We start from the raw sequence: 10571 nt of genomic DNA, 5'->3' as shown, positions 1-10571 counted from the left end.
AGAATCGCTTGAACCTGGGAGGCAGAGGTTGCAGTGAGCTGAGATCGCACCACTGCACTTCAGCCTGAGTGAGAGAGTGAGACTCTGTCTCAAAAAAAAAAAAAAAAAAATGCAGTTCAGCAGTTCTCAGCATGAGGGTTTTATGAGCAGGATGCTGGGCTGGCTGGGTTTTAATCTGGACTCTACCGCACACTTGTGAGACCATGGACAAGTTTCTTGACCTCAGTGTCTTCATTTATACAAGGGGAATAACAGGACCTACCTTATTGGATCCTTGTATATTTAAATGCATTTGTGTGTGTTAAATGTTTGGTATGGTACTTGACACATAGCATTGGCTCAATAAATGCTAGCTGGTGCTATCATTAATACATTATGAAATCAGAATTACAAATAAAAGTTCTTCGATCAGATCTACTATTTGCTGTGCATTTGGGATGCCCCAGGCTCAGTGCTCCTGAATGAGCTTACTTTCCCCACATCCATTTCAATTATCTACTCTGGAGTCATCTTTGGCCGTTTCTTGCCATTTGAGATAGTCCGATGGCATTTATGATATTTTAAAAATCAATTTAGAGTGAAGTGTGTGTGTTTTCATGAATTAAGGCTCAAACCAGTTGCCTACTGGCTTAATGAAGTACTAGCAGTTTCTTGCTTTACCCCAGCACCTCCAAGGAGCCTTGCACTGAGTTTCTTGCTGGTGGGTCTTGATTTTTAACTAAATGAGGAATTGGTGAATGAATGGTCTTCCATTCACAGTGGGTTTGGAGTGGGAAGGCGCACGGGCATACCTAGAAAGGCTCTAGAGAAACTAGCTTTATTTGAACCCAAGGAAGGCATTTAATAGCAGAGCAGGGAGAAGGGAGCCAATCAGATCTGGCAGGGCAGGCCCAGGAGGAAATACGGCTCTGAGGATGGAAGAGTCGTGGGGCAGGCAGAATGCGTGGCTCTAGGGAATGGCGGCCAGGCCTTCCTGGCCATCAGAGGTTTTGCGCAATGCATACACTTGGCTCTGCTTTCTTTCTGAGCTGGTCCTCCCCTTAATATGCCTGGGTCAGACCACGGTTGAGCAAGGAAGCTGTCCTGTCTGAGTACACTTCCCAAAGCCACCTGTCACTCACCATCAAGATAAGGATACTCAGCCACCCACCTTACTCACTGGGAAGCTGCCCACCTGATCCTTCATGGAAAGTGGAAGGCGGGCTCTGTTTATCTAGGCTGGTAAAGTCCTTGTGGAGCAGCTGGGAAAACAAGAACATCTCTGAATTTGTAGAATTATCATCTACCTCTGGCTTCTTGGACTTTTTAACTGGTTACAGTGTTTGCTGCTATGGTCAGCCCAAGGGTTAAGCCTTTCTCTTGGGTGTGTGTTTCATTTTACAGCATAACTCATTTCCTCCTTGCATCAATTTCCACTTCTATCCTTGGCATAGGGATTTGTTACCAACTTGGCATGCAACCGTCTCTTGCATTTTATTTTTAGAACTTGGAGTAAGGATTAGCTATGTAATATTTTGAATCCTTCATACTGACTTTGGTAAAATACACAATAGAGAAAGCTTTAAAAGCTTAGCTTTTTTTTTTTTTTTTTGGCATGTAAACAGTAAAAATGGCCTTTTAGAATTCTAATCTGGACTATGTTTTCCTCCCTCAATTCCCTTGACTGGTTATTTTTAGGATTTACAGATGGCTTTGGAGAATAGGTATGATTCTAGGATTCTTCTTAGTAGCTTAAGAAAATTCTTTTTTTTCTTTTCTTTTCTTTTCTTTTTTTTTTTTTTTTTTTTTTTTGAGACAGGGTCTCACTCTGTTGCCCAGGCTGGAGTACAGTGGCATGATCTTTGCTCACTGCAACCTCCGCCTCCTGGGTTCAAGCAATTTTCCTGCCTCAGCCTCCCCAGTAGCTGGGACTACAGGTGCCCCCCACCACACCTGGCTAATTTTTGTATCTCTTAGTAGAGATGGGGTTTCACTATGTTGGCAAGGCTGGTCTCGAACTCCTGACTGCAGGTGATCTGCCTGCCTCAGCCTCCCAAAATGCTGGGATTACAGGCGTGAGCCACTGCTCCCAGCCAGAATTCCTTATATCTCATTATAAAAGTGATATCTAGGATATTTGTAGACTGTATATAATGTATAATTGTTAATTGTCTTGCTTTATACCCTATAGATTTTTTAAAAATCAATTTAGAGCTCTCTGTGTATATATTTGTATGTGTGTGTGTTTTCATGAGTGAAGACCCAAACCAGTTGCTTGCTGGCTTCAGGCAGTAAAACCAAAATGCCTGGCAAGTCTTAGATCTAATCCTGCTTATACTTCATTTCCTGGACCAGTGCTGGCTTAGGGAACTTTCTGGGATGATGAAAGTGTTCTGCTTTTTTTTTTTTTAGATGGAGTTTTGCTCTCGTTGCCCAAGCTGGAGTGCAATGGCACGATCTTGGCTCACTGCAACCTCTGCCTCCTGGGTTCAAGCGATTCTCCTGCCTCAGCCTCCTGAGTAGCTGAGATTACAGGCGCGCACCACCAAGCCTGGTTAATTTTTTGTTATTTTAGTAGAAACAAGGTTTCACCATGTTAGCGAGGCTGGTCTCGAACTCCTGACCTTAGGTGATCCACCCACCTCGCCCTCCCCAAGTGCTGGCATTACAGGCATGAGCCACCGAGCCTGGCCCAAAAGCGTTCCTGTTTCTAGCCCCTAGTCACAGGTGGCTGTTGAACACTTGAAATGAGGCTAGTGCAACTGCTGATCTGGCTTCTAATTTTAGCTAATTTAATAGCCACACATGGCTCGTGGCCACTGTACTGGATGGCACAATGGCCTTGGGTTTTTCTTACCTGAGCAGCAGAAGGCTTTCTGAGGAAATGGAGCTTGGGTTGTGTGAGATGATGCGAGAATTAGAGGGGCATGTACAACTGCCCCCTTCCCCACCTGCTTAGTCTGCGACTCTACTGGACCTATGCCTTCTCCCGGAGCTGATGAGCTCACCTTAGTTCTTAGAGCTTCAATTCTTGAATGCTGCAAGCCTGCCTGAGGTTGGCTTCCTTTTATCCTGTGGATAAACTGTAGGATTCCAACGTCCTTTTTGATAGACCTCACCTCTCTCTTCCTTATTCATTACTTTCCCCATCACTCTCTGACTGCCCATGACATGGAAAGATTTGCAATTTCAAGAACAGGCTGTTCTTACCTCTAGACCTGTGCAAATCGGACACTCTCCACCTGAAATGCTCTGTCCCTTTCATGCACCTGTCTGACTCCTACATGTCCTGTAGGTCTCAGGTTAGACCTCAATTTCTGCAACACCTCCTCTAGGAAAGGCTTTCTTGACCTCTCCTAGGACAGGTGGATGCATTACCTAGTATGTATACTGGGTGGATTCCCATCACAGCACACTTGATTGAAACTGCTTCTTTACCTACAAGTCCCTCCTCCTGCCCTAGAGCTTCTTAAAGGGTGGTCCCTGTACCGGCAGCACTGGCATCACCCGGGAGCTTGATGGAAATGAAGAGTCTTGGACCCCAGCCCAGTCCCCCTGAGTCAGAAATCCTGAGTGTAGGTGCTAGCAATTTGTGCTCAACAAGCCCACCAGAGGATTTTCATATGTGCTAAAGTTTCAGAGCCATTGGGCTGAACTCTTAGCCCCATTAAGGTAGGATGTGTGATTTTTGGTTTCCCACTGTCCCTAGCTTTTAGCACACTGCCTGGCTAGATACTTGAGAAACACAGTCAGAGAAGAAATTCCAGTTATTCTTTTGGCAACTTGTCTGATCAGGAAATTTTTTAGTTGAAATCAGTTTAAATCTCTTCTCCTTTCTCCAAAGGAGATAAAGAACAACTGAGTACTTAAAAAAAATTTATTGTTATCTGGGCTCGGTGGCTCCTGCCTGTGGATCACCTGAGGTCAGGAGTTCGAGACCAGCCTGGCCAATATGGTGAAACCGTGTCTTTACTAAAAATACAAAAAATCAGCCAGGCGTGGTGGCAGGCACCTGTAATCCCAGCTACTTGGGAGGCTGAGGCAGGAGAATCACTTGAATCTGGGAGGCAGAGGTTGCAGTGAGCCAAGATGGCACCATTGCACTCCAGCCTGGGCAACAAGAGCAAAACTCTGTCTCAAAAAAAGAAAAGAAAAGAAAAAAAAATTATTGTGATAAAATATACACAACATACAATCTACCATCTTAACATTTTTTTTTTTCTTTTTGAGACAGAGTCTTGCTTTGTTGCCCCAGCTGGAGTGCAATAGCATGATCTCAGCTCACTGCAACCTCTGCCTCCGGGGTTCGAGCGATTCTCCTGCCTCAGCCTCCTGAGTAGCTGAGATTACAGGCACCTGCCACCATGCCCGGCTAATTTTTGTATTTTTAGTAAAGACGGGGTTTCACCATGTTGGCCAGACTGGTCTCTAACTCCTGCCCTCAGATGATCCAGTCAGCTTCCCAAAGTGCTCGGATTACAGGTGTGAGCCAATGCGCTTGACCTTAACCTTTTTTTTTTTTTTTCTTTTGAGACAGAGTCTCACTCTGTCACCCAGGCTAGAGTGCAGTGGCGCGATCTTGGCTTACTGCAACCTCCACCTCCTGGGTTCAAGCAATTTTCCTGCCTTAACCTCCTAAGTAGCTGGGACTACAGGTGCCCGCCACTATGTCTGGCTAATTTTTTGTATTTTTAGTAGAGACGCGGTTTCACCATATTGACCAGGCTGGTCTCGAACTCCTGACCTTGTGATCCGCCTGCCTTGACCTCCCAAAGTGCTGGGATTAAAGGCATGAGCCACTGCACCCGACCCAACCATTTTTAATTATACACTTCAGTGTCTTTAAGGGCATTCACATGGTTGTGCAGCCATCACCGCCATCCACCTCCAGAAGTTCTTCTCCAACTGAAGCTCTGCACTCATTAAACAACTCCCCTTCCTCCCAACCTTTGGCAACCATCATCCTGCTTTCTGTCTCTGAATTTGCCTACTCTGCATTCCTAATGTAAGTGAAATCATACATCATGTGTCCTTCTGTGACTGGTTTATTTTACTTAGCATGTCTTTATGCATGTGCCAGGATTTCCTTTTTAAGGCCAAATGATAGTTCCTTGTCTCTATACCACATTTTGTGTATCCAGTTATCAGATAGCATTTGGATTGTTTCTACCTCTTTGCTTTTGTGAATATCACTGTTGTGAACATGGGTCTACTGTATAAATATCTGCTCGGATTCCTGCCTTCAATTCTTTTGGGTATATACCCAGAAGTGAGATTGCTAGATCCTATGGTAATTCTATGTTTATTTTTTGAGGAACCATTATGCTGTTTTCCACAGTGGCTACACCGTTTTATATTCCCACTGGCAGTGCAAAAGTGTTTCAACTCCTCTGCAGCCTCACCAACACTTATTTTCTGTTTTTTTTTTTTTTTTTTTTTTTGACAACTGAAAGTGAAAAGTTAATTCAAGAATAGTGTCAGGCTGGGCACAGTGTCTCACACCTGTAATCCTAGCATTTTGGGAGGCTGAGGCAGGTGGATCACTTGAGGCCAGGAGTTTGAGACCAGCCTGCCTAACATGGTAAAACCCCATCTCTACTAAAAATACAAAAATTAGCCGGGTGTGGTGGCAGGAGCTTGTAATCACAGCTACTGAGGAGGCTGAGGCAGGAGAAACACTTGAACCCAGGAGGCAGAGGTTGCAGTGAGCCGAGATCACACCACTGCACTCCAGCCTGGGCTACAGAGCAAGACTCGGTATGAAAGAAAGAAAGAAAGAGAGAAAGAGAGAAAGAAAGAAAGAGAGAAAGAGAGAAAAAGAGAAAGAAAGAAAGAAAGAGGGAGAGAAAGAAAGAAAAAGAAAGAAAGAAAGAAAAAGAAAGAAAGAAAGAAGGAAGGAAGAAAAGAAGAAAGAAAGAAGGAAGGAAGGAAGGAAAGAAGGAAGGAAGGAAGGCAGGCTCCCTGGGGCAGGTGGCTGCACAGTCATGGCGGAGGTGACCAAAGCCACATCATGTCCGTCGTTCGTTCATCTGTCCATGCCAGATGGATCGTGGGGAAGGTGATTGGGACAAAAATACAAAAGACTGCTAAAGCGAGAGTGACCGGGCTTGTTCTGGATCCCTATTTATTAAAGTATTATAATAAGTGGAAAACCTCCTTTGTTCACGATGGCCTTCGGCAGTGCACAGCTGGGGATATCGTGCTTCTCAGAGCTTTACCTGTCCCATGAACGAAGCATGTGAAACATGAACAGGCCAAGATCATTTTCAAAGTTGGAAAAGTCATAGATCCAGTGACAGGAAAGCCCCGTGCAGGAACTACCTACCTGGAGAGTCTGTTGAGTTTAGAAACTACCCAGCTAAGCAAAAATCTGGAAGAACTCAGTATCTCTTCGGCACACTGAAGGAGGAGTGGAAGGAGCTAAAGGGAAAGATTGACATGTTTATGTTATGCAAAAATAAATTTTTCAAAGCTTCATCCCCCCGCCCCCCAAAAAAAAGAACAGTGAAGAATTGTGTCAGAGGAAGAGAAAGTTTTCCAAACTTTCTTCAATTTACTTACTTGGTCAATTAAAACCCAGACATTGAGTACTTATTGTGTGATAAGTTGCTATGTTAAAAGAAATGACATCAATAGAATTGATTCTAGTAGGTTCTGTTTAGTTCTAACAAACTTGAAAATGTTTGTTGGAATTTGAAAAATAAATGCATATGAAAGCTTAAATGTTGAAATGTTACCTCTCGTTTCTGATACAATTTGTGGAAACAGAGCTCTATCTTTAGAGTACAATTTTTTTTTTTTCTTTTGAGATGGGGTTTCGCTCTTCTTGCCCAGGCTGGAGTGCTGTGGCACGATCTCGGCTCACCGCAATCTCCGCCTCCCAGGTTCAAGCGAATCTCCTGCCTTAGCCTCCCTAGTAGCTGGGATTATAGGCACGTGCCACCAAGCCCGGCTGATTTTGTATTTTTAGTAGAGACAGGGCCTCTCCATGTTGGTCAGGCTGGTCTCGAACCTTGACCTCAGGTGATCTGCCCGCTTCGGCTTCCCAAAGTGCTGGGATTACAGGCATGAGCCACCGCGCCCGGCCTAGAGTACAATTTTTTAACAACCATTTCATTCTGACAATCAATCCTAAGAAATGACTTGATAACAGTGCAAAAAACGTGTGTTCAAGGAGTTCATTTTCCCTCACTTAGATTCTCATTCTTTGAACTCCTGACTTTCTTAGAACTCCAAGTGCCAGTTATCTTTGGATCAAGAGAAGTAATCTCTATCAACATCTGGTTGCTATGTCTCAGATTTTTAAAAGATTGTTCAAGGCTGTAAAGACACAGCCTTGAATTACTACGTTTGGGAAGCACATTGCTTCATCAGGAGATAATGGGTTTGGTAGTTTAAGTAACAGAGAGTATTGCTGTAGGAAAGATATTCCAAGTGTTAAAAAGGAACAATGAAAAAGCAAAAAAGTAAGTAGGTTCATGTTTATGGTGCTGGGCACATGCACCACTGTTCACTGTAAATATCTTCGATTTGTCATCACTTGAGGATCACGGGATATAAGCAGCCTATTGCTCTCCTCTTCTGCCTTTACTGTGTGTTCCACTCTTGAGAGTAAGACTTAATGCAAGAGGGCATTCTTTCAACTAGGTACCATGTGTGTCACTATACATTTGCCAAACCCCACACAACAAAGAGTGAACCCTAGTGAACTGTGGACTTCATGTAAACTAGGGACTTTAGTTACAATATGTCATTACTGGGGCCGGGCACATTGGCTCACACCTGTAATCTCAGCACTTCGGGGGGCTGACGCGGGCAGATCACTTGAGGTCAGGAGTTCAAGACCAGCCTGGCCAACATGGTGAAACCCTGTCTCTACTGAAAATACAAAAATTAGCCAGGCGTGTTGGCGGGCACCTGTAGTCCCAGTTACTCAGGAGGCTGAGGCAGGAGAATCGCTTGAACCTGGGAAATGGGGGTTGCAGTGAGCCGAGATCACATTACTGCACTACAGCCTGGGTAACAGAGTGAGACCCTGTCTCAAAAGAAAAAAAAAATATATATATATATATGTGTGTGTGTGTGTATCTCATTATTGGCTCATCAGTTGTAACAAATGTGCCACTCTAATGCAAGATGTGAACAGCGTACACTAAGGCACGGGGCTGAAAGGATATGTGGGGATTGCCACTCCATTTTTCCGTAAACCTAAAACTATTCAGTAATAATCCTTTTTTTTTTTTTTTTTTTTTTTAACAGTCTTGCTCTGTCACCAGGCTGGAGTGCAGTGGCGCAATCTCGGCTCACTGCAACCTCCACCTCCCAGGTTCAAGTGATTTTCCTGCCTCAGCCTCCCGAGCAGCTTGGACTACAGGTGTGTACCACCATGCCCAGCTAATTTTTGTATTTTTAGAGATGGGGTTTCACCATGTTGGCCAGAAAGGTCTCAATCTTTTGACCTTGTGATCCGCCCGCCTCAGCCTCCCAAAGTGCTGGGATTACAGACGTGAGCCACTGTACCTGGCCTAGTCCATTAAAAAAAAAAATAGGAAAAGAAAAAAACCTATAGAATTAGGAGATTTAGTGCCAGAAAGGACCTCAGCCATCTTCTGGAGAAATGCAGGGACAGACTTTACCTGTTCCCCATTCCAGGTTCAGTAGATTGGGTTCAGGTTCAACAAACTATTGCTGTTAAAAGCACACTGTGGGATTCTGATGTGTGGCCACATCTTAGAATCATTGATCTGGTCAAGAACCCTCACTGACAGATGATAACCTGAGCCCAGGTGAGGATGTGACTTGCTAAGGCCGTACTGCTCGTGGTGCCATGCTAGAGTAGAGAATAGTTCTCTCCCACTCTTTGTCTTATCTCAAGAATCTTCAGAGAGGCCACTGCATTTGAATCTAAAACTTTCTTAAGATAAATATCACAGTTGCCCTGATAGCAACAACAACACAGTCTGGGTGCAATGGCTCACGCCTATAATCCCAGCACTTTGGGAGGCCAAGGTGGAAGGATTGCTTGAGGCTATGAGTTCAGGGCTTCTTTATTTTATTTTATTTTATTTTATTTTATTTTATTTTATATTTTATTTTATTTTTTATTTTATTTTATTTTATTTATTTTATTTTATGTTATTTTATGTTATTTTATTTTATTTATTTTATTTTATGTTATTTTATGTTATTTTATTTTATTTTATTTTATTTGAGACAGAGTCTCGCTCTGTTGCCCAGGCTGGAGGGCGGTGGTGCGATCTCGGCTCACTGCAACCTCTGCCTCCTGGGTTCAAGCGATTCTCCTGCCTCAGCCTCTGGAGTAGCTGGGACTACAGGTGCGCGCCATCATGCCTGGCTAATTTTTGTATTTTTAGTAGAGACGGGGTTTCACCATGGTAGTCAGGCTGGTCTCCAGCTCCTGACCTCATGATCCACCCACCTCGGCCTCCCAAGGTGCTGGGATTATGGGCGTGAGCCACTGCGCCCGGCCAACTCCATCTTAAATAAAAAAATAAAAAGTATCTTCCTTATTACCTTGGTGAACAAAGAGGAGGATATAGTATAGCCACATTTCCTTGTCAGAAGCTTCATGAAGATGAGAAGAGGTTGCAGGAGATTCGGGTTAAGTGCCAGAATGTGCATTACTTTTGGGCTGGATCTTGTGGAAGCCACTAGCTGCTCTTTCCCTTAAAACAAACCATGTTCAGTTTGGGGAAGGTGGAAGAGCAAAGACGAAGGTGGAGATAGGCTGGCCACAGAGGGGGTTCCTCAGGCATCTCTGGGGCTGCAGGCTCTGTTCCCAGCTGGAGGGGTCTTAGGGACAGGCCCTTTCCCTCTGCTGGTTCTAGGACATGTAGAAGCAGAAGCTACTCAAGTATCTCATCCACCCAGGCATTATCCCAGAGTGATTGTGTTGATGAAATGTTCATCCCAAGACTTTGTTAATCATGATATTATTGTACTGAATTCATCTTTGGCTTCCTTCCACTTACATTTCTACCGGGAATTAAAATCACTATGTGGGAGGATAATTTTTAGTCATTTTTTCCCCCCGATCTTTGTATATTGGAGAGATTGGGAGAGATTGGCCAATTTGGAATATCCAGGTACTGCAGCACCAACCTCCTTCTTGCTGGTATGTAGAGGGTTTGGAGTGATAGCTTCTTTCTAGTGCCTTTGAATTTGGGTGCTAGTGACAAAGTGAGTGGACCTCCTAGCAGCTCTCCTACATGATGGGAATGGTAGGAGGGTGGTAGCAATTGCCAGTCAGAGACAATTAAGCTGCAGTTGGTTTGCACAGGGCAGGACTAGGAGTTTCCCAACAGCGATGGTGGCCTATTCTGAGTCATCCAAATACCTTTTTTTTTTTTTTTCTTTCCCGAGACGGAGTCTCGCTCTGTCTCCCAGGCTGGAGTGCAGTGGCGCAATTTTTGCTCACCGAAAGCTCCGCCTCCCGGGTTCATGCCGTTCTCCTGCCTCAGCCTCCCGAGTAGAGTAGCTGGGACTACAGGCGCCCGCCACCAAGCCCGGCTAATTCTTTTTTTTTTATTTTTAGTAGAGATGGGGTTTCATTGTGTTAGCCAGGATGATCT

At 44.3% G+C, this 10571-nt stretch overlaps 1 protein-coding gene and 1 pseudogene across 11 annotated transcripts in view; both read left to right on the top strand.

Annotated features, from left to right (window-relative positions):
• ATP8B1 (ATPase phospholipid transporting 8B1) overlaps positions 1-10571 on the top strand; it is a 156890-nt gene that overhangs the window by 33138 nt on the left and 113181 nt on the right. For 3 of the 11 annotated variants that reach the window (XM_047437548.1, XM_047437541.1, XM_047437544.1), the window contains exon 1: positions 8244-8353. The exons of the other annotated variants lie outside the window; for them this stretch is intronic. The gene's annotated coding sequence lies outside the window, so the exon portion shown is untranslated. Of the gene's footprint in view, positions 1-8243; positions 8354-10571 lie in introns of those variants that run through there. 11 annotated transcript variants of the gene reach the window in all.
• MRPS17P7 (mitochondrial ribosomal protein S17 pseudogene 7) lies at positions 5936-6458 on the top strand (annotated as a pseudogene).

Source organism: Homo sapiens, chromosome 18 (assembly GCF_000001405.40).
Source record: "Homo sapiens chromosome 18, GRCh38.p14 Primary Assembly".
NCBI lineage: Eukaryota > Metazoa > Chordata > Mammalia > Primates > Hominidae > Homo > Homo sapiens.
Note: the sequence above shows the minus strand (reverse complement) of the source record. Positions and strands in the feature narration are given on the sequence as shown.